Source organism: Homo sapiens, chromosome 8 (genome assembly GCF_000001405.40).
Source record: "Homo sapiens chromosome 8, GRCh38.p14 Primary Assembly".
Taxonomy (NCBI): domain Eukaryota; kingdom Metazoa; phylum Chordata; class Mammalia; order Primates; family Hominidae; genus Homo; species Homo sapiens.
This window is the reverse complement of record NC_000008.11, coordinates 55,755,728-55,778,779: the sequence shown is the minus strand read 5'-3', so window position 1 is coordinate 55,778,779 and position 23,052 is coordinate 55,755,728. Positions and strand designations below refer to the sequence as shown.

Here is a 23,052-nt window from a genome sequence, read left to right as displayed (position 1 = left end):
CAGCTTCATTTTCAAGTAGTAAAATGGAAAGGAAGCCCTTTCTGAAAGGTTAAAAGGGGATCACAGAAATAATATGTGACTTGCCTAAGGCCACACAGCTGAGTTTTGTAAAAGCACACAGATATGCTGTCTATAAGGTCACTACTCTTTTAAATTCTGACTCAGGAACCTGTTGGGGGGAAAACATATCAAACAATTTCGTTGTATCATATATGAAAGACTAGAGATCACCATCAGACACTGTCACATGAGTATGATCAGAGGGAAATATAGGCTCTTCAGTTTCCAGAATAGTCCTCTATCTCCACGAATCTATATTAATGTTAAAGTGTCTGAACAGAACATCAGTTGTTCTAGTGACTTTAGACTACTTAAATACCTTAATGAGGGAGATTCAATGAAATCATGTTCTATGCCAACTGGTAGCATAGTAGAAAGGCTCTCATGTCATACAGATGTGCGGTAGAATTCTAAGGCTGCCATTTACTGGCTATGTGATTTTTTTTAGGCCACTACTGAGACTCTGAGACAGGGTCTCATTCTGTCACCCGGATTGGAGTGCAGTGGTACGATCATGGCTCACTGCAGCCTCCACCTCCTGGACTCAGCCTCCAGAATAGCTGGGACTACAGGAGTGCCCCACCATGCCTGGCTAATTTTTTGTATTTTTAGTAGAGATGGGGTTTCGCCATGTTGCCCAGACTGGTCTTGAACTTCTGGGCTCAAGCGATTTGCCTGTCTCAACCTCCTGAAGTACTTGGATTACTGATGTCAACCACCACAACCAGCCAAGACTCAATTTTCTACTTGAATAAGTGAGGATAACAAGACATACCTCAGGGGGCTGCTAGAAGGCTTAAATTAAAAAAAAAAAAAATTTAAATTATTCTGACATTTGTTAAAATGGTAAAGAAAGGCTTTATTTAGGATAATTGCGATAGTAATCAACATAATGGTAGCCACACGCATGTAATCCCAGCACTTTGGGAGGCCAAGGCGGGCAGATCACTTGATGTCAGGAGTTCGAGACCAGCCTCCAAGGTAAAACCTCATCTCTACTGAAAATACAGAAATTAGCCGGGTATGGTGGTGCACTCCTGTAATCCCAGCTACTTGGGAAGCTGAGGCACGAGAATTGCTTGAATCTGGGAGGCAGAGGTTGCAGTGAGCCGAGATCATGCCACTGCACTCCAGCCTGGGCGACAGAGTGAGACTCTGTCTCAAAAGAGAAAAAAAAAAAGATAATGGCAATGGAGAGAAATTTTGCTCAACTTCAAATATAGCAAAGACAGCTGAAGATAGCCAATGGGCAAAATTCAGGGGGCGTGGTCAGTGGATGGAAAATTACTAAGGGGAGACATCCAGCATGGGGGGATTGTTGCTATACCAACAGTATTCTTGCTGAGGGCAGGCCAGAGCGATCAGATACGAAGGGTGGGAAGATCTTGCTACATGGACTTAGCAGGATTCTGGCTAAAAAAAAAAAAAAACACCTGTAATCCCAGCACTTTGGGAGGCTGAGGTGGGAAAACTGTTTGTACCCAGGCATTCCAGACCAGTGTGGGCAACAAGGTGAGATCCCTGTCTCTACAAAAAATAAAAAAATCAGGCAGGTATGGTGGTGCATAGCTGTGGTCCCAGCTATTCAGGAGGCTAAGGTAGGAGGATTGCTTGAGCCAGGGAAGTTGAGGCTGCAGTGAGCTGTGATTGTACCATTGCACTCCAGCCTGGGTGACAAAGTGAGACCCAGTCTCAAAATAAACCTCCCAAAACCCAAAAAACAAAACAAAAAAAACACCCAAGAACCACCCCGCCACCACCAAAAAAAAACCAACAAACAAAAAAACTAATGGACTTAGAAGGATTCTTGTTAAAACTGGACCAGACAGGTTGAAGACAAGTCCCAAATGACAAGGCCTAATCAAAAGGAGAGCTCACTCAGAGCCTGTGTAAAGTCTGGTTAAGGAGAGTCTCTGTCAGTACAAAATGTAGAACAATTAGTGGTGGCACTTAATAAGTCATCTAAGGGAGGAGACCACCCCTCATATTGTCTTATGCCCAATTTCTGCCTCCAAAGAAAGAAGTAAAAACTAAAAGGCAGAAATGAAATCCATAAGCAGACAGCCCGGCGCCACACCCTGGGCCTGGTAGTTACTGATCCACCCCTGACCTAATCGGTTATTTGCATAAAAAAGGCACTGGGCCGGGCACAGTGGCTCACGCCTGTAATCCCAGCACTTTGGGAGGCCAAGGCGGGTGGATCAGAGGTCAGGAGACAGAGACCATCCTGGCTAACACAGTGAAACCCCGTCTCTATTAAATACACAAAAAATTAGCTGGACATTGTGGCGGGCGCCTGTATTCCCAGCTACTTGGTGGGCTGAGGCAGGAGAATGGCGTGAACCCAGGGGGTGGAGCTTGCAGTGAGCAGAGATCTCGCCACTGCACTCTGGCCTGGGCAACAAAGCGAGACTCTGTCTCAAAAAAAAAAAAAAAAAAAAAGACACCGTGAAGACCCCTGTCCAGTTCGGTTCCTTTCTAATTAGTGGTGTACGCAGCCCCCAGTCACGTACCCCTTGCTTGCTCAATCAATCACGATCCTCTCATGCAGACCCCCTTAGAGTTGTGAGCCCTTAAAAGGGACAGGAATTGCTCGCTCGGGTTGCTCGGCTCTTGAGACAGGAGTCTTGCCGATGCTCCTGGCCGAATAAACCCCTTCCTTCTTTAACCTGGTGTCTGAGGGGTTTTGTCTGCGGTTCTTCCTGCTACAGTCAATCGATCCAAGGGATTTAGTCAATTCTAGTGGATACTTTTAGTCCTCATTTTGCTTGATATTTTGGCAGCTTTCCAATGTTGATTACACCTTCACTGAAACACTTGGTGACAGTGTACTTAGGCTTGTCTGTTTCCTAGTTAATCCATCTCTTCTTGTCTTTAAAAAGTGCTGGAATTCCTCAAAGGTGGGTCCCCCTCCCCCACCCTTCATTCATGGGTTCAATCACTATCTAAGGCTAAATGGCTCAAGTTTTTAAAACTAGCCCAGACTTCTCCAGCGCTCCAAATCAATATATCTAACTGCTTATACCATCTACTCTTGGTTATCTCATAGATACCCCCAAATCAAAATGTATAAAATCAAACTCATAATCTCTTCTCCGTTGACCCAAAATAAAATTCATGATTCTCCAGTGATCCCTACCTCAGTGAAAGGCAGCAATACAATTCAGTCCCCACCCCCAGCAAGTTTTCTCCCATCTTTCTTTCTTTCTCCATTTCTGCTGCCATTTATCCTAATCCAAGTCACTATAATCTCTTGCCTAAACAATGGTCTTAAGTGGTTCTCTTCCTCCAAACAATCCTCCACACTGCCGCCTGAGTAGTATTTTAAATATGCAAATCTGATCATGTCATTCCCCAGCTTAAGGTTTTCCTATAGTCTACAAAGTCCTGCGGGTTTTGACCCTGCCTACTGTGCACACCCTATCTTCTTTCTTTCCCAGTTTTTTTTCTTTTCTTTCTTTTCTTTTCTTTTTTTTTTTCGGGACAGAGTCTTGCTCTGTCATCCAGGCACGACAATGGCTAACTGCAGCCTGGATCTCCTGGGCTCAAGAGAGCATCTGGCCCAAGCCTCCAGAGTAGCTGGGACTACAAGCATGTGCCACCACAGCTGGCTAATTTTAAAAAAAAATTTCAGTACAGATGAGGTGTTGTTATGTTGCCCAGGCTAGTCTCCAACTTCCGGGCTCAAGTGATCCTCACTCCTCGGCCTCCTAAAGTGGTGGGATTACAGGTGTGCACCACCGTGCCCTCCCTCCCAGCCATTTTGTTCAGTTTCCCAGGCTTTCTTTTGCTCCCTCAAGGCCTTTACTGAGTTCAGCCTGCAGAGAACGCTTTCTCCCACTGAAACTCACCCCAATTTATCCCCCTTAGACCTCTTTCCAAAAGCTACTTCCTCAAAGAAACCTCTGTGACCCTTGGAAAGTTATTTGTTTTCACAGCATCCTGCACTTCTCTCTCATAGCACTTATAACTATAATCAACCAAGTAATAATGTAACCAGTTATCTTAATATTGATCTTCTCTGCTAGGAAGTAAACTCAATACATGTAAGGACAGAATGTCTTGTACCTCAGTGCCTACCAGCATACTTGATATACAAGAGCACAAAAAACATTTTCTGAATGATTGTATGACTACATGCATGCCTGACTAAAAAGGCGACAATACTTTTTACATTAAATTTAACAAGTTTAACTTCTTTTTGCGTTTTCAAATTACTCCACAAAATTACACGAGAAAAATGAATTCCTTCAAACTTAAATCCTACTATATTAAACTATATTAAAAGTCTATCACATAAAATTCACTTCCACAAGGATTTAACTCTAACAAAATAAGCATGTGAGATTAAATATACCCGTTATAGAGATGAAAAAAAGGTTCAAGTGGTTTAACTCACGCATTTAATATAAAGGAAACAATTCCTAGAATTCAAGTCTCTTGGCGGTATTATTCCTGCATACTAGCTATTTTTCATGTGGGGCAATTTTTACCTGATTCAAAGATTTCCCCAAAATAAAGATATCACAAAAACTGATGTAAATATGGTTAAGTCTTTTATCTCAACTAGTTTGAAGTTTTAATTATGTGCATTTGGGCTTAAGTAGATTTTTAGGTTTAAAAAAAGACGTTAACCAAAGCAAGTCACTCAACTTTAAACTTTCACTTTATGACATCATATCTACTAGAGATTTCATTTTACATGTCGCTTTCCCCCAATTTTTAAATGTCCCCTCGATTTACAAATATGAGATGACATATAGCACCTACGACATTTTTTCATAGCAGCCTACCAAGTAGATGTAGTCCTTCACATAAAAATAATGGCAGTGGGCGACCACTCCGTCATGTCTGAGGGTTTTGTTTTTCTTAAACATCACCGTGCCCAAGGGTCAGATGTTCTGGCTGCTTTCAGGGATCAATTACAACCACGTTTGCAATACCTACATTTCTGGGTAATGACTGTGCTAGAACATGAAGAGATTCTCTTTTCTACTTACTCCACAAATGCCCTGGAGCAAAGGCACAGTATCTTACAATCCTCCCGCTCCTCAATGAAGAGAAACATTTCCGCCACGCGGCTCCACTTCTCGCAGCACATTTTACCACTTCGGAGGCAGCTCTGACGTACGCAGCCCGGGTCGCGCCTGCCGGGCCTCCGCTCGGTTACTGGAGACTTAAAACAGGCCTCGCCCGCAAGCCCTGGATGAGGAGATAGAAACTGGCCCGCGGCCGCTCGCGCCGGGAACTAGCCCGGACGCTGCCGCCGGAAGTGGCTCCGAGGGGCCACGGGAAGGGGCGGGACCACGGGCGGTGTCACCCCCATCGCGGCCCGGGCTGCAGCCGCCGCTTGGCTTCTTTCACACGGGTTGCTTCGGAGGAATCCGCCGTGCAAATCTGTCCGCCCCCTTGGCCACTGATCCCCCGAAGAGCTTCTGTCGCCGCTCTAGGGTAAAGGAGAGCTGCCCCTGCCCCTGCCCCCGCCTATCCGAGGTGCGTCGGCCCCCGCGCTTCTCCAGCCCGGCATCGGGTCTGGCGGGACTGGGAGCGGCGGAGGCCGCGCGCGTCCGGTCTCCCAGGAGCCGCCTCGGAATCCCCAGTCTCTTCGCGGGCAGGCTCGGCTTCCCGCCGGCCTCAGTGTTGCGCCCCAGCGCCAGAGTGGCCGGGTGTGGAGATCCTCCCTCCTCTGGGTCAAAGAGCCTGCTCTCCCCGCCCCTCTTCTCCCCTGGCGCTCTAAACCTTCGGTTCGGCGCGTTTCATCCTAATGCATCTGGTGGGGCGAGGCGTCTCTAGCCTCTGTAGAGGCCTCTAGGCTTGCCCAGTGGCTTCGCTGGTTCCGGGACCCAGGTCGAGCCTCCGGTGTAAAAGCCAAGGGGAAGTGTGTGGTGATCCCGAGAGTGTAGGGGGAAAGCCGCGTGGGTAGAGCGTTCGTATCCAGACCGATCAGGCTTGGAATCCTGGTCCTACCTTGTGACCTGGGCAGGCAACTTCACCTTTCTGAGCTTACCTTTGATCACCTGTGAAATGGGGTTGATTAATAGTAACTACTACATGAGGCTGCAGGGAGGACTAAACGAAATGATGTATATTACACCTTTCCTTTGTGCGCTTAATCGTTGGCGTCGGTTTGGACCTTGTAGGCGTTAAGTGCTGTCTCGGTCCCTGGGGTTTGCAGCCTGTAAAACAGGTCTCTGCCTTCAAGTTACTAATTATCTAATAAGAAAAAAGTTCATGTGGGCATAAATAGGATGGAGAAAATGGAAACAGCAGCGTTGCTGGATCTGTTAAAAAGCAGTTAGTATTTGGTGTGTGGTATTCATGGAGGCTGCACGGGCAACTTCTTCAGAGACAAGCTCAGACTTGAAAGTTGGAGCGCTTCGGACGTGGTTGGTGCTACGAAATGCCAAAATAGTATTGGTACTTCTTCAGAACTATATAAAAACTGAGCTAAAATTCATGCATTTTGAATGGTATTTTCAATAGTATTTTGGCCACATTTACTAGTTAGTGGAAATATTCATTTTCAAATGTTTATTCCCACCTCCTTACTGCTGCCCTACTTTGAGGTCGGAGATAGGCTGATTTTGTTGGTTCAAGAAGGTAAGAGTGCTGCACGGTTACAGATATACCAGTATAGATGTGCAGCATTATTGGGATGAGTAGCTGGGTTACGATAATAAGGGTAGAACAGTAATTATGAAACAGAGTGGAAGATTTTAGCTAGAAGTTGGGCATTCTAGGATTAAAGAAAAGTCTTGAAGGGTAATTTGTATCAGAACCTCGAGTTTAAAGCTTGAAATAAAAAAAGTATTAAAGCTAAAAGGATTAGATTTACCAGCTATCTTGACAAATACTAAATTGCAGCTTTATTCATGGTTTGAAGTAGAAGTCCTATTCAGTAAAACAGTGCTGTATCTCTGTTAAACCATTATTAAATATGCAGAAAGGAAACAGGAAAACTTGTTTTTCAGTGACTATATCTTTTAATTGGCATTTTCAGAATGTTCTCAATGTGACTTATATACTAAAAGTAAAATGGAAAAGTACTGGTAATGGGTGTTCAAAATAGATATACTTTATTTATTTATTTATTTATTTTTTTTGAGACAGGATCTTGCTCTGTCACCCAGGCTGTAGTGTAGTGGCGCGATCGCGGCTCACAGCAACCTCTACCTCCCAGGCTCAAGCAATCCTCCTACCTCAGCCCCCCGAGTAGCTGGGGCTACAGGCATGCCACCATGCCTGCCTAATTTTGTGTGTGTGTGTGTGTGTGTGTGTTTTGTAGAGACAAGGTTTTGCCATATTGCCCAGACTGGTCTTGAATTCTTGGGTTCAAGTGATTTGCCTGCCTCAGCCTCCCAAAGTGTTAGGATTATAGGCATGAGCCACTGAGCCCAGCCTAAAATAGATACACTTTCTTAAGGTTTTATTGAAAGCCAAAAAGTTCTCTGTTCTGATTTATTAGTTTTTGAAATACTCTGATTTTAAACATCTGTAAGGTCCATATCCTCACCATCAATGTCAATATGGTGATATTTGAGCTTGTCAACTTTTTTTTTTTTTTGGAGACGGAGATTCATTTTTGTTGCCTAGGCTGGAGTGCAATGGTGCGATCTTGGCTCACCGCAACTTCCGCCTCCTGGGTTCAAGCGATTTTCTGCCTCAGCCTCCTGAGTAGCTGGGTTTACAGGCATGCGCCACCACACCTGGATAATTTTGTATTTTTTGTAGAAACAGGGTTTCTCCACATTGGTCAGGCTGGTCTCGAACTCCCGACCTCAGGTGATCCTCCTGCCGCTGCTTCGCAAAGTGCTGGGATTACAGGCATGAGCCACCGCGCGTGGCCTTGTCTACTTGTTTTTACAAAAGTTACGTGATTTCCAGATAGGGAAATTAAGATACTTTATATGTGATGCATTAGACTGTGTTTATTTTAGATTTTTAGGAGCAGGGGGCTGTAGAAAATAACCTGGAATTTTGAGAACTAAAATATTGTATTTCCCCCAAAACATCTTCTAGTACATAGAGTTCCCCCCTGCCCCCGAGACAGGGTCTTGCTCAGTTGCCCAGGCTGGAGTATAGTGGTGTGATCATTATAGCTTACTGCAGTCTTCACTCCACGGGCTCAAGCAGTCCTCCTGCCTTGGCCTTCCAAGTAGCTGCAACTTACAGGAACGTGCCACCATGCCTGGCGAACCTTTTTTTGGTAGAGACAAGGTCTCAGTATGTTGCCCCCAGGCTGGTCTCAAACTCCTGAACTCAAGCAGTCCTTCCACCTTGGCCTCGAAAACTGTTGGAATCACAGGCGTGAGCCACCCTGGCCCATGTCATTTTTCTTGGATTAAAATAAAGTGATAAGAAGTCAGTTACACCCCCAGGTAAATTCAGGGGGAAGGGGAAGGGCCAGGCAGAAGTATAGGGAAGACAGAAATTGCAATCTTAATATTTTCTTTCTGTCAAGAGAGAAAAAGAGAGATATATCAAAGAAAGTGTGTTGGAAGCCAGACCAGGAGGTAAGATGACTAGATTTTAATTTTAGTTCTTGGCTTTTACTGAATTAATTTAGTAATTTTAAGCAAGCAAACTTGGCTTTCTGTGTTTACTTTTTTTGTTATCTGCACAATTAAGGGGTTGCATTGAGATTTAAAGACACTTTGTCATATTATCAAAAGTAAGTGCTACATTTTATCTACTGAAAGGCATTTTATTCAAATTCCTCTGATAGTTCTCTAGTAGCAGGTTTTAGGATACTGTTTTGATCCAGATTTCTGTTAAAGATTTAGATGAGGCCAAGCAGGGTGGCTCACGCCTGCAATCCGAGCACTTTGGAAGGTGGAGGCGGGCGGATCACTTGAGGCCAGGAGTTCCAGACAAGCCTGGCCAACATGGCAAAACCCCATCTCTACTAAAAATACAAAAATTAGCTGGGTGCAGTGGTGCTTGCCTGTAGTCCCAGCTACACGGGAGGCTGAGGTATGAGAACTGCTTGAGCCTGGGAGGTGGAGGTTGCAGTGAGCTGAAATCGAGCCACTGCAGTCCAGCCTGGGTGACAGAGTGAGACTCTGTCTCAAAAAAAAAAAGTTTTAGACGAACACAGTTCAGTTGTATATTTAGCCAGCATTTGTTAGGTGCCTACTATGTGCCAGAAAGTAAGTGTTTTTCGTATGTTTTCTTAGATAACTATTTTATTTACTGATATATTTAGAATAGTATCTGGCACAAACTTCTCAGGGCCATCCACTTGTACATTGTATCCTGTCCCCTTTGGCCTAGTCAAGGACAGAGCTCTAACAATTATCTCCTCTCCTACATCATCTGTTTCTCACTCCCATTGATGAATTATCGTTGACATTGAACATGGGTGTATTTTCTCCTATCTTTTTTTTTTTTTTTTTTTGAGATGGGATTCTCATTCTGTCCCTGAGGCTGGAGTGCACTGTCAGAATCTCGGCTTATATAACCTCTGCCTCCCGGGTTCAAGCAATTCTAGTGCCTCAGCCTCCCAAGTAGCTGAGACTACAGGTATGCACCATGATGCCTGGCTAATTTTTGTGTTTTTAGTAGAGACGGCATTACCATGTTGGCCAGGCTGGTCTCAAACTCCTGACCTGAAGTGATCCACCCGCCTTGGCCTCCCAAAGTGCTGGGATTACAGGCATGAACCACTGTGCCTGGCCCTTTTTTTTTTTTTTTTTTTTTTTAAAGACAGAGTCTCTTGCTCTTTCACTGAGGCTGGAGTGCAGTGGCTTGATCATTACTCACTGCAGCTTCTACCTCCCAGGCTCAAGTGATCCTCCCCCTTCAGCCTCCCAAGTGGCTGGGATCATTGGTACATGTCACCATGCCCGGCTAATTTTTAATTTTTTTTTCTTTTTGAGCAGAGTCTCACTCTGTTGTCCAGGCTGGAGTGCAGTGGCATGATCTCGGCTCACTGCACTCTCCACCTCCTGGGTTCAAGCCATTCTTGTGCATCAGCCTCCCGAGTAGCTGAGATTACAGGAATGCATCACCACACCTGGCTAATTTTTGCATTTTTAGTAGAGATGGGGTTTCACTGTGTTGCCCAGGCTGGTCTTGAACTCCTGGCCTCAAGTGATCTGCCCCTACTTGGCCTCCCAAAGTGTTGGGATTACAGGTGTGAGCCACCGCACCTGGCCTAAATTTTTTTTTTAGAGATGAGTTTTTACTATATTGCCTGGCTGGTCTTGAACTTCTGGTTTCAAGCGATCCTCTTGCCTCAGTCTCCCAAAGTGCTGAGATTACAGGTGTGAGTTACCATGCCTGGCCTCTGTCTTAAAGCAACAGCTGCAGCAGCAGCAGCAAGGAACAACTCACCTGTGTTCCCTTCTAGATACCCACCTGTTTCTTTCCTCCTTTGTGAGTTTTTATATTTGCTGTTTCCAATTCATTTTCTCCCATTCATTCTTGAACTTCAAGGGTAAAGGGGAGCTGCTTCTGTCCTCTCCTGTCCAAAGTGTTTTGTTTCCTACTATACAAAAACAGCTCTTACCAGGGTTTGCCAGTTTCCTTTGTGTTGTAAAATCCAGTGATCAATTATCATTTTTTTTTTTTTTTTAAAGCTGTCTCCTACAGGAAGGAAGTGATCTCTTACCTTACTAGGCCTGTCAACAGCATTTAAAACAGCAGAATATGCCTTCCTTCTTGAAGCTCTTACTTCCAGGATACTGCTTCTGCAAGGAGGAGGCTGGCTTGCCATTGTCTTCCCAACTTCTAAAATGTTGGGTGCCTCAAGACTCAGTCCTGGAAATTCTTTTTTTTTTTTGAGACTGAGTTTCGCTGTTGTTGCCCAGGCTGGAGTGCAGTGGCATGATCTCGGCTCACTGCACCTCCGCCTCCCAGGTCCAAGCGATTCTCCTGCCTCAGCCTCCCAAGTAGTTGGGACTATAGGCGTGCGACACCACGCCCGGCTAATTTTGTATTTTTGGTAGAGACGGGGTTTCTCCATGTTGGTCAGGCTGGTCTCGAACTCCTAACCTCAGGTGATCCTCCCGCCTCGGCCTCCCAAAGTGCTGGGTTTACAGGTGTGAGCCACTGTGCCTGGCCAGAAATTCTTTTTTACTCTATATTCGTTCCCTGGAGGGATCTTCTCTAGTTCCATGGTTTTAAATATTGTCTATATGCTACCAATTCCTAGATTTATATCAGGGCCATCCACTTATACCCTGTATCCTCCTCCTGATCTTCCTGCTAAACTGCTGATGTCCGGCTGCCTACTTAATGTCTTCACTTGGATGTCCAATAGACATCTTAAACTTAACATGTTTAAAATGGAATTCCTGATCTCCATCCCACCCTCAAACCTGTTCTTCCTGCAACTCTTATTTTTTCACAAGCAAGCGAATAATAATGATGATAGCAATAGTTAATGCTTATATGTGATAAGCATTAACTATGCTTAGATGCTTATAAGCAATAGTTAATGCTTATAAGTGAATAATAATGATGATAGCAATAGTTAATGCTTATATGGTAGAAAGCACTCTTCTAAGAGTTTTTTTACACGTAATCTTCACGATAGTCTTATTAGGTAGATGCTATTTTTATTTTACAAATGAAGAAACTGAGGCAGAAAGATATTTAAGTACTTGCTAGGTTTTTTTACACGTAATCTTCACGATAGTCTTATTAGGTAGATGCTATTTTTATTTTACAAATGAAGAAACTGAGGCAGAAAGATATTTAAGTACTTGCTAGGTCACATGGTAAGTGGCAGAGCCTCCCAGGATACAAACTCAGGTTGCCAAAACACCATATAATTATCTCAGATTCTACGTCAATTTATTAGCAAATCCTGTTGGCATTATCTTCAAAATATATCCAGAAACTGACCATTTCCTACTGCCTTCCCTCTGCCACATGTATGTAAGCCACTTTCATCACTTATTGCAAATATTCCTATTTGCTGCCTGTGTAGTATATTCTCAACACAGCAGCCACTTAAAACCCAAGCCAGGCAACCTCACCCTTCTGCTCAGTGCCCTCTGATGCCTTCTCCATCTCACTTAGATAAAAGCGTGCATAGAGGCCGGGCACGGTGGCTCATGCCTGTAATCCCAGCACTTTGGGAGGCCGAGGCGGGCGGATCACAAGTTCAGGAGATCGAGACCATCCTGGCTAACATGGTGAAACCCTGTCTCTACTGAAAATACAAAAAATTAGCCGGGCGTGGTGGCGGGCACCTTTAGTCCCAACTACTCGGGAGGCTGAGGCAGGAGAATGGTGTGAACCCGGGAGGCGGAGATTGCAGTGAGTGGAGATCACGCCACTGCACTCCAGCCTGGGCAACAGAGCCAGACTCCATCTCAAAAAAAAAAAAAAAAAAAAAGCGTGCATAGAAAGCTCTACAGTGTTGCCTCTCTGGTCCATTTCCAAGTGCCCTCCCTGTCACTTTCTCAGCCTGGCATCCTTGCTGCTCCTCAGGCCACACCAAGTGCACATATTTTGCACTTGCTGTTCATTTAGCTAGGAAGTTTGCTTCCTTCCTTCCTCCCTCAGGTTTCTGCTGAAAAATATCTTTTAGAGAAGTCTTCCCAGAATGCCTTATATAACATAGCAACCTCCTCCTTTCCCCTACTCCCGTGCCTGACATAGAACTCCATATTCTTCTTACACTGCTGTTTATCTTTCTCCCTAGCACCTGTCATCATCTGACCTAGCATGTATTTACTAGTTCTTTGTTTACTGTCTATCTTCCCCCTCTAGGATGTAAGTCACTTGAGGTTGTAGACTTTGCTTTATTTGCTGCTGAGGAAATGGGTGGTACATATTAGGGTACATAGGTGCTAAATAGGTCTTTATAGAATGATTTATCATCTTCATTTTCAGAGAAACAATGAGACACAGAGAGGTGTAACTTGCTTAAGATTGTAAAGCCAGTATTCCAGTATGTTCAGTCTGGCTCCTAAGCCCATTCATGTCATCCACTGTGTTCCCGAAACAGACTGAAAGGATAGGCTATGTCTTAGCCCACCTCATGAAAGTTAATAAGCAGATGAGATGTATAATCTTTGCTGGGCTCAAAAAGGTTTTTTTCAAGTGTAGTTTGTAGAGATGTAGAAAATAGTAGCATATTTTTAGCTGAATGAGTCAGTATGATCGAGTTACCAAAAAAGCTGCTGTGATTCTATGAATGATAGCGATAGCAAACATGTAACACTGATTACATGTAAGGTATTCTAGGCTCTTTACACAGATTAGCCCATGTAATCACAGTAATCTCATGAGGTAGTTAGGATTATTATCCTAGTTTTATAGGTTTTAGCAAACGGAGGCACAGGGGTTACCGTACATGGTGTTGTCAGTATCAGATAACTGGAGTCAGCAACTCGGAGTGGTCTTGAGTGCTGAAAGCTTAAGAAACCAGGGGCTGAGAAGTAGTTGAAAGAATTAAGGATTCTGACTGGAGAAGGAATTTTGTGGCTCATGGCAGCTGTTTTTAAACTTACAAGGTTGTTTAATGGAAGAGGGTCTGTGGTACAAAACTAGGTCCAGTAGGGAAAAGTTACGGGGAAGTTAAGTATAAGGAAGACCTTTTTAGTAGTTCTGATGGATGGTTGCTATGTTGCATTCTAAATGATCAAACATGGGTAAATTATAGTGATTTGACTTTTTTTATTTTTATTTTTTGAGACGGAGTTTCACTCTTGTTGTCCAGGCTGGAGTGCAATGGTGCAATCTCGGCTCGCTGCAACCTCCGCCTCCCAGGTTCAAGCGTTTCTCCTGCCTCAGCCTCCCGAGTAGCTGGGACTACAGGCGTGCACCACCACTCCCAGCTAATTTTATATTTTTAGTAGAGATGGAGTTTCACCATGTTGGTCAGGCTGGTCTCAAACCCCCGACCTCAGGTGATCCACCTGCCTTGGCCTCCCAAAGTGCTGGGATTACAAGAGTGAGCCACTGCGCCCAGCTGGTGATTTGACTTTTTATATGGATTGATTAGATGATGATGTAAATAAAGCCCAAGTTGTGGGCTCAATGTTTGCTATGTTCATCTCCTGTAACCATAACAGACCAGATTTCTCACAAGTAAATGCTATTGGTTACAAGGAAGTTAGATGAAATGTTTCATTCCTGGGAGAACAAGTCAGTGCCTGCCCTCCTAATAAGCCAGTTAGCAAGATAATCTTAGAATAAAAACAATACATTTTTCTTATATGTACATCTCCTCCTCTCCTTTCATCCTTTGCTTTCATTTATTCATTTTTTGCCTCAGCTACAAAGGACTTGAGATAATTTTCAGTAAGATTATATAGTATGGAATAATGATAAAATAGTTCTAAGAATACAATCAAAGTATGGAGAAAGGAAATCTTTTGTAGGAAAATATTATCATAGGGCTAATATAATTGTATAATTGAATGTTATGTTTCACCTTCAGGTTATCTGGCAAAGTTACTAAAAAGAATCATAGTCAGTTATATATCTTCATACTTTTTCTCCTAAGAAACAAAGCTTTTGAAAACTTTGTTTAAAATAAATTCTTAGGTGGGGCTCTATATAGTGGCACTAAACAGTGTAGAGTTGTCTTCACCAAAGCAATGGTAGCATGAGTGTACTTTTTAATTGTAATATACCAGTGTGGGCCTATAATCATATTTCTTAAACATTTATGAATGTCTCTTGCTGTTTATTTTATAGAAATGCTAACTCTAGGTATTAATGATTATCTTTTTTTTTCTTAGTAATTTATTTCTTACATTTGTTTACTGTGCTTTCCAGAATAGAGACATTGAAGTTTGGGACAAGATATTTATCTAACTTCTGGTAAGTCCAATGACTGTTTTAGAGAGTGAATTTGTAAAATAATTATACAGCTATATTTTCAGTCATTTAAGATTTAAGATAAAAACAGTACTGATAAATTTTTATTGCATAATGAACTTTTGTAAATCTGTTTCTCTATAAAAAAACAATATCCATTAATGTATGTAATCATTTCGTAAAGAATTGGGTTACTTTTACTGAATTAGGTAGATATTGATGTTTTCTTTTGTGCAGAGTTATCTCAATATGGCTGGGCATGGTGGCTGATGCCTGTAATCTCAGCACTTTGGGAGGCTGAGGTGGGTGGACCACTTGAGGTCAGGAGTTTGGGACCAGCCTGGCCAACATAGTGAAACCCTGTCTCTACTAAAAATACAAAAATTAGCCAGGCATGGTGGCACATGCCTGTAGTCCCAGCTGCTCGGGATGCTGAGGCAGGAGGATTACCTGAACCTGGGAGGCAGAGGTTTCAGTGACTGAGATCGTGCCACTGTACTCCAGCCCGAGCAAAAGGGTGAGACTCCATCTCAAAGAAGAAAAAAAAATTATCTCAATGTGACCTGGTTTAAGATCTAATTTTTCAACATGATCCAATTAAGATGTGAGTCAAATTATTAAAATCAATCTGAAATTATATTCCTCATCAGCTTTATTTTCTTCTCTTAATTATAGCTTTATTTTCTTCTCTCAATTATAGTGAATTATTTCAAAAGCTAAACACGACATACTTCATGAGCAGACAGATGAAACCTTATAATTTTCACATTTAAATCTGCAACAAAGTTAACCATTAACCATCTACTCATTTTGGGTATTAAGAAATGACTCTATATGCTATTTAAGTAGAGTAAAACATTTAACTTTATAGCTGTGGAGAAAATAATACTGGATTATTTTTCCCTTCTAGTGTCAAAATTAGCGACCTGCTATGGCAATGAAGAAAGAAACTGAATTTGTCATTTTCACCTGAAGAAAAATGATAGACAAAAATCAAACCTGTGGTGTAGGACAGGATTCTGTGCCCTATATGATTTGTCTGATTCACATACTCGAAGAATGGTTTGGTGTGGAGCAGTTGGAGGACTATTTGAATTTTGCAAACTATCTCTTGTGGGTTTTTACACCACTAATACTTTTAATACTTCCTTACTTTACTATCTTTCTTCTCTACCTTACTATTATTTTCTTACACATTTATAAGAGAAAGAATGTATTGAAAGAAGCCTACTCTCATAATTTATGGGATGGTGCAAGGAAAACAGTGGCAACTCTGTGGGATGGACATGCAGCCGTTTGGCATGGTAAGCAAGGATACTTTCACCTTTGTGTTGCCATTCATGTGTGCTGCATTGGAACTGTGTTACCATTCCATTTTATTGATTGAGAAGATACTGAAAAATATAATAGAAGTGATATTTACTATTCCCTGTTACCTGTTTGCATGCATTGTGCATATGTATGTGTCTTTCTTAAAATGAGTTTTCCCATAGACGTTGGTTTCCATTAAACAAAGAACCACGCAGCACTGTAGACTATAAGTTGAAATAAGAAAATTTATATTTAAAACATCTAAAAGAGTAAGAGACTAAATAAAGCTGTAGAAAACTGCTTTAAAAATGCTTCAATTATTTAGCATTTACTTCTGTTCAAAATAAGTTTGACTCTACCAGTGTGGATTTAAAAAAATGAAATATTAAATAATATTACATTAAATATAATTTGCATACCAAAATTTATGCATTTTCTGTTGATTCATTCCTGAGGTTGGTGTGTCTTTCTGAATAAATAAGATAGCAATAGATTTCTCTCCAGGATAGTCATTCTTTTCTTTATTACTCGAGAAATTTTGATGTTGTATACTTAATGATTGGTGGTTCTTCTTTGTTTGGCCATCATGAAAATTGCCTTCTGGTGGCCTATTTTTAAGTGGTTAGTGTTTCACTCTACCAACTTTTACTTCATTATTCCAACAATATCTAGTTTGTTGGTCTCTTTTGTTTTTAGACTACACAAAAATACTGAAGATTCAATAGGCAGGTAACAAACATTGGCTTTCTGTATTATGTTGTTGAGCATCACAGTGGTTTCATAGAAGGACATGGAAGGAAGCACAGACTTTAAAAGACACTTGAGGATATATATCACTGAACTATTAGGCTGCTATTAGCAGAAATCACCAGTGACATGCTTATTAGACTAATGTATTTTCATTTTAATACTACATACATACTTAACGAACCTACAAATTTTTTTTGAGCACCTACCTATGCCAGACACTGTCAATTGCTTAATATAAATTAACTGCTTTAAATCTCATTAACATAATGGAGTCTATGTGGTACCCCGATTATACTCATGAGGAAACTGAGGCACAGAGAGGTTGTTATTTGCCCAAGGTATACTAGGAATAGGGCCAGGTTACAACCCCAGATACCTGGGAGTATACATTTGAGAGAGCTCTTGGAGGTAAAATAAACAGAACTTGGGGACTGAGTGTAGAGTCTTGAGGGAGGAGGAGTTAAAGTCCAGTAAGATTTCTACTGCTAGACAGGGAAACATGAACTGGAAGTGCTCCAAGTAATAGCAACCATGTGAGCAGAAGCACAAAGGTGGAAAAGTACTCTGGGAGCCACAGTTAGTTCATATGATACATGAAATAATGTAATGTCACTTTATAGGCAATTGGGGCCTCAAGGGGCTTGAAAATGTTGGACTAGAGTGGTAATGCACTGATACTTTCTCAGCAGGGAGTAGTATGATCACATCTGCTCTAAGAGTGACACAGTTAAATAGCCCTAGGTTTTAAGGTTTACTGGCACTATAGTAAACTATTTTTTTTAAATATTTGATTAGTTGGATTTTTCTGCTTTCAACCAGGTGGTTTGGTATTATGTGAGTAGTTCAATTGTTTATTATTTAAAAAAATACTCTGTAAAACCAGAGAGAACCTTGGTAATATTCTGTATAGAATCCTTCAAAGGAGTTTCTTTATTGCTCAGAAAATGTATTTGATGGGACAGTTGATCCTCAAACTCAGTGACTGTTTTGTAGAGCTTAAAGTAAATTGAATTACTTGAGTTAGAATTATGTAATTGGAAAGAAATGATATAATATGGAAACATACAAAATCTTGGAATATCATTAAATTATTTTTCAAAACATTCTCAAGTCCATTTGAGTAGCTTATTTCATACTAGAATCACAGTTATCATACTTAATTTAATCTGTTTTGTGAAGACCTTATAAACTACTTTAGAAATGTATTTTCTGCTCTGGAATTTAGACTGAAGTCTTTATTTTTTGAATGTTTATTTCGTAGCTGATCAGACAGGAATACACTTAAGGAAAGAAACAGACTAATATTTTCAGATTTCCATATTCTGGACTTTACTTTTGTCTTCTATACAAGTGGCAGCCTTTCTTGAGACAGCTGTTCTATGTGGAGGAATATGGCCCTAAGAACTTACTTTCCTTTCCTATTACAACCACTCTAGATTTCCTTCTTTTTCACGCTTTTTCTTTGAGCCTGATTCTGCCCTTGATCTCTGGATGCTCACTTTTTTCTTTTTGCCAGGACCCGTGGAGGCTGTGGTCTGTAATGGTGTGTCTGACAGTGGTGACATGGGAAGGGAATGTGGATCTTATGGCTAGTGCCATGATCACCATTTTATTCACTCCTTAGAATATCCTGACTTCCCAACTTCTGTGATTTTCCTCTGAGGCATAGTTGGATCTTACTTAAGTCTTTTCTATTCCCTACTAACTGCCAACAGCACAGCGTTGCTGTAAGAAGTAAATTTGTTGGCCTTGGTAGCCATATAGAGAACAGCAGGCAGGTAATGTTAGCTAAGGGAGGAGAAAAAACAGCCAGCCTGGAACTGAGGCTGTGTTAGCAGGAAGCTTCCAGATGTCATCCCTTCTCCAGGTCCACCACCTTTCATCCTGTCATTTACTCCCACTACTGAAACCCTTTCTTCTGTTTACAGAGACATAAAATAGGGCTTGCAGTGTGGAAGGAAGGGGCAGGGATGGCATGAGCCTCTGATCTCGCTTCTACAGGACAGAGATTTTCTTGTAGTCTAGTTCAAATCTGTGATTAAAGTTTTTCCCCCACATGTAATAAGATTGTACAAAATCATGTTTGTTTTTTTCATGAATAGAATGAGGAAATTTCTAAAGAATTGTTTAAATACATAAAAATGAAGTCTTATGTTTGTGAATGAACTTAAAGTTTACAGCATTATGATATCTGTGTATATATAACAGTGTAAATGGTATTTTATTTTACATTCAGTCACTAATAATTTTTCCTGTTTTAAAAATATGTATTTTTTAGTTTTATTTATATTTATTTATTTATTTTTGAGACAGAGTCTCACTCTTGTGTCCCAGGCTGGAGTGCAGTGGTGTGAGCTCAGTTCACTGCAACCTCCGCCTCCCAAGTTCGAGCGATTCTCCTGCCTGAGCCGCCCGAGTAGCTGGGACTATAGGCACATGCCACCACACCTGGCTAATTTTTGTATTTTTAGTAGAGATGGGGTTTCACCATGTTGGCCAGGCTGGTCTTGAACTCCTGACCTCAGGTGATCCTCCCGCCTCACCCTCCCAAAGTGCTGGTATTATAGGCACGAGCCACTGTGCCCGGACTGTATTTACTTAATTTTTTTTTTTTTTTTTTGTAGAGACAGGGATTTCACTGATTTGCCCAGGCTGATCTTAAACTCCTAGCCTCAAGCAATCCTCCTGCCTTGGCCTCCCAAAGAACTGGCATTACAGGCTTGAGCCATCACACCTGGCCTACTTTTTTTGCTTTTATTGATGAATTATTTTATGACTCATTTTTAAATTTACTGTAGGTCATGTTATCTCAGGGAAGTTGTAACTTACTTGATGGCTTCTGCAAATAAGGATGTTCTCATACTTAACCTCAGTAAACCCATTAAAATTGGAAAATTAACATTGTTATGTTACTAATATCAAATCTTTAGAGCTCATTTAAGTTTACAGCCTTTCTATTTGACTCTATTTTTTTATAGTTTCCATCTTTCTGCTGAAATTCCTAATCTGATTGTGCATGTATCCACCTTTTCCACTAGATCCTTTGCGTTTATTTATTTATTTTTATTTTTAGAGTCAGGGTCTCGCACTGTCACCCAGCCTGGAGTGCAGTGGCACGATCATAGCTCACTACAGCTTTCAACTTCTGGGCTCAAGCAATCATCCCACCTCAGCCTCCCAAGTAACTGAGACTACAGGCACATGCCACCATGCCCAATTAATTTTTTTACATTTTTGCAGAGGTGGGTCTTGCCATGTTGCCCAGGCTGATCTCTAACTCTTGGGCTCAAAAGTCCTACCATCTCAGTCTCCCAAAGTGTTGGGATTACAGGCGTGAGCCACTGCATTCCCCTTTAACTTAATCATAGTTATTTTATAGTTTCCATCTGATAGTTTCAACATTTGGGTGTGTTAATTGTTTTAGCTCTTGACAGTGGGTTTTTTTCTTGCTATTTTATGTCATATTTTTTATTGAATTCTGGCCATTGTTTGTAAAAGAATGACAACTGAGGTAAATAGTATTTATGACTGAGAATTGGGCTCATAAATAGGATTTATGACTAAGAATCTGTCAGGCCATTGGTGGTCGGTTGGAGGTGGATTCAATCTACTGAGTGAACTGGATTTGGCTTTTATTGCTGCGCTACAGCTACCTTCAGTTCAGCACAGACTTCAGACTCCTACTGTTATCTTGTGCATAGTGTAGGGCCTGAAGTAGAGGGATTTTTTGGTTGTTTCTGCTCCACCTTCAGTCCTGTATGCCTTTGCCACAGGAAGAGTCTCTTCACGCCCCTCCTGCGACCCCAGGAAAAGGTCGCCTTTGCTTATAACTCCACATGGGGGTACTTGGGGACTCCTCACACCCCTTGTTCATGCCCCTGCCCTCATTCCCCCTGGTGCTGGGGTATAGCACTCCTCAGTTTTCAGGTTTAGCTAAAATCTTATGGGGCTCTGTATTCCTGGGGCTTAGGGGTGAGGCTTTCTGTGTTCCTTTCCCTTTTCCCTGTGTTGGGGGTTTTGTGATGGAAGCAAATTTGCTGCCACTGCCCCCGTGGTAGATATCTGCTTTATGTCACTTAAGGACTCTGGGCCCCTTAGACTTTCCTGCCACCCACCCCCGCTGCCCAGTGGTAGATATTTTGCTTCTTCCCCTTCTCTAGAATAGTGGACTTTTGCCTGACACTGGGCTGGTGAGGGTGGAGGAGTGTGTGGGGCAGGGGAGTGGAGTTCTGCCCCTCCCAGCATTACATGCCTTTTGCATATACCCTTTTCTTAGAGGGAGTGAAAGGGTTTCCTGCCCCTTTCCCAGCGCCTGACAGGTTTTCTTCTATGAGATAAACTTCCAGGAAGTGAGTGGGGTTTTGTTCCCTGTACCATTAGCAGGGGCTCTCTTTACTCTCCAGCTTCACCCCTAATCTTTCTTGTGAGCACACACTGAGGTCTGTGGAGAAGAGTTAGAGAGTGACTATCTGGGGCTTCCAGAGATTCTACATTCAATACTAGCCTACCGTGGGACTTTAAGTATTTTGTAATATGTCACTTCTTCTTACCCTCTTTTATGGCATCTGCCTCTTCCTCCCATTCTCAGTTTTTGTCTTTCCTTAGAGGGGTTTATCACCCTTTGAAGTTCAGTTCGCCTGGTTGCCTTGTGACCTCTGTTCTCTGACATGCTTAAGAAAAAAAGATTTGTACTTCAGGCTTTTTCTCATCAGTAGGGTGGGAGTGATGTTCCCTTGTGGCTACAGAGTTTCTCTTACTAGTAATACTGTACAGTATTTTTAATGTTTTCAACCCCCTCCTCTAACAGTGAAACCTGGCTCCCGTTATTCTTACTATGTTGACTCATTTGATCAGTCCCCCTGTGTGTAACCCATCTCCCATCATTGCTGCCTTCCCCTACAACTCATGGATGCCCTGTCCCTGCTTGTGCCAGGCCACCACTCTGTACAGTGCCCTGTCCAGCTGCTCAGGCTGTGATGCCCTACACCAGGCCACCTGTCTCGGGCTCTGGCCCCTCCTGCCAGGCTGCTTGCTGGTTGTGGATGCCCCCATTTCACTCAGGCTCTGACTCCCAAGCTTCCGTGACCCTTGCCTCCTCTCTTCCCCCTCAGCAGCCCCCCAACCTGTGATAGGCTCTCTTCTGTGCAGTGCCCTCGTGACTCTGCTCTGGTTCTGACTCCCCACTCCGCACCACCTGTGTGAGTGCCTTCCTTAGTGTCTGGCGCCAACACTCCAGGCTACCTCTCCACACAGGTTGTCTGCTTCACTGTGGCCCACCTAATGGCTGTAGGACTGATTTGTTCAAGAAAGAAAGAGAAGAGGAAAGAGAGGGAAGAAGGGGGAAAGGGGAAGAGAACCAGGAAGACTAGTGTACTTTTGTGAGAAAAGACTGAGCTACCAACCATCCTTTACTGTAAACGAATTAATGAATATATTTTAAGTATTTGCATTTTGTCATTCAAACAGGTTATGAAGTTCATGGAATGGAAAAAATACCAGAAGATGGACCAGCACTTATAATTTTTTATCATGGAGCTATTCCTATAGATTTTTACTATTTCATGGCTAAAATATTTATACACAAAGGCAGAACTTGCCGAGTAGTAGCTGATCACTTTGTCTTTAAAATTCCAGGTAAACTTTCACTGTAGATAGTAATGTAAAAATGTTTTATTAACAAAACCAAGTTATGTGGTCGTCTCTATCCTGAGCTCTCTAACGTCATTTGAAAAAGCTTTTTGCCTTTTAGGGTGTGTATAACACTCTTGGAACTCTAATATGGGAATATCTAATTATCCTTTTTAGGCAATATATCTAAAAATAAAGACATTGTGGCCAAAAATGTTAGCTCATTTTTTATTTTATACATTTTAAAATTGTTTATTTTTAAGTGAAAATTGTATTTATGGCATACAATATAATGTTTTTAAAAAATAATTTTAAATTTTCCTTTTTAAAAAAATATATTTTTATATATTAAAGGGGTATAAGTGCAGCTTTCTTATATGCATATATTGTGTAGTGGTGAAGTCTGAATATTCTCAATTAGTAACTTTTTCCTTTATAAGCAGGTATTGTTATTTTTTTAAGTTGTATCTTGAACTGTAACTTTTAAAAAGCAAATTGTGATTTTTGCCAATTTATATTTTG

General features: G+C 41.9%; 2 protein-coding genes across 14 annotated transcripts in view, besides 4 other annotated features; one reads left to right on the top strand and one right to left on the bottom strand.

The window, feature by feature from the left end:
- TGS1 (trimethylguanosine synthase 1) overlaps positions 1-5,334 on the bottom strand; it is a 53,000-nt gene extending 47,666 nt beyond the window's left edge. For all 5 annotated transcript variants that reach the window (NM_024831.8, XM_006716485.3, XM_017014004.2 and 2 more), the window contains exon 1: positions 5,061-5,334. In NM_024831.8, coding sequence (NP_079107.6) covers positions 5,061-5,161 — 101 coding nt within the window. In that variant the 5' untranslated portion in view covers positions 5,162-5,334. The remainder of the gene's footprint in view (positions 1-5,060) is intronic.
- Positions 4,896-5,225: an enhancer, noted in NCBI's record as "active region_27376". NCBI's record gives its function as "activates an Ori minimal core promoter by ATAC-STARR-seq in GM12878 lymphoblastoid cells {active_cell/tissue: GM12878}" and the evidence as "EXISTENCE:reporter gene assay evidence [ECO:0000049][PMID:35858748]".
- Positions 5,366-5,555: a silencer, noted in NCBI's record as "silent region_19202". NCBI's record gives its function as "represses an Ori minimal core promoter by ATAC-STARR-seq in GM12878 lymphoblastoid cells {active_cell/tissue: GM12878}" and the evidence as "EXISTENCE:reporter gene assay evidence [ECO:0000049][PMID:35858748]".
- Positions 5,402-23,052, top strand: part of TMEM68 (transmembrane protein 68) — a 34,621-nt gene continuing 16,970 nt past the window's right edge. For 3 of the 9 annotated variants that reach the window (NR_156454.1, NM_152417.3, NM_001286657.2), the window contains exons 1-4: positions 5,402-5,511; positions 14,800-14,844; positions 15,752-16,145; positions 22,369-22,536. Coding sequence is in view for 8 of the 9 variants with exons in the window: in NM_152417.3 (NP_689630.1) it covers positions 15,821-16,145; positions 22,369-22,536 (493 nt within the window). In the remaining variant the exon portion in view is untranslated. Of the gene's footprint in view, positions 5,554-14,799; positions 14,845-15,751; positions 18,006-22,368; positions 22,537-23,052 lie in introns of those variants that run through there. The other 6 variants (NM_001363176.1, XM_047421360.1, NM_001363177.1 and 3 more) reach the window with 5 other exon arrangements.
- Positions 5,646-5,775: a silencer, noted in NCBI's record as "silent region_19201". NCBI's record gives its function as "represses an Ori minimal core promoter by ATAC-STARR-seq in GM12878 lymphoblastoid cells {active_cell/tissue: GM12878}" and the evidence as "EXISTENCE:reporter gene assay evidence [ECO:0000049][PMID:35858748]".
- Positions 5,997-6,500: an enhancer, noted in NCBI's record as "NANOG-H3K27ac hESC enhancer chr8:56684839-56685342 (GRCh37/hg19 assembly coordinates)". NCBI's record gives its function as "activates a minimal SCP1, AML or CMV promoter by ChIP-STARR-seq in primed H9 embryonic stem cells {active_cell/tissue: H9 hESC(primed)}" and the evidence as "EXISTENCE:reporter gene assay evidence [ECO:0000049][PMID:30033119]".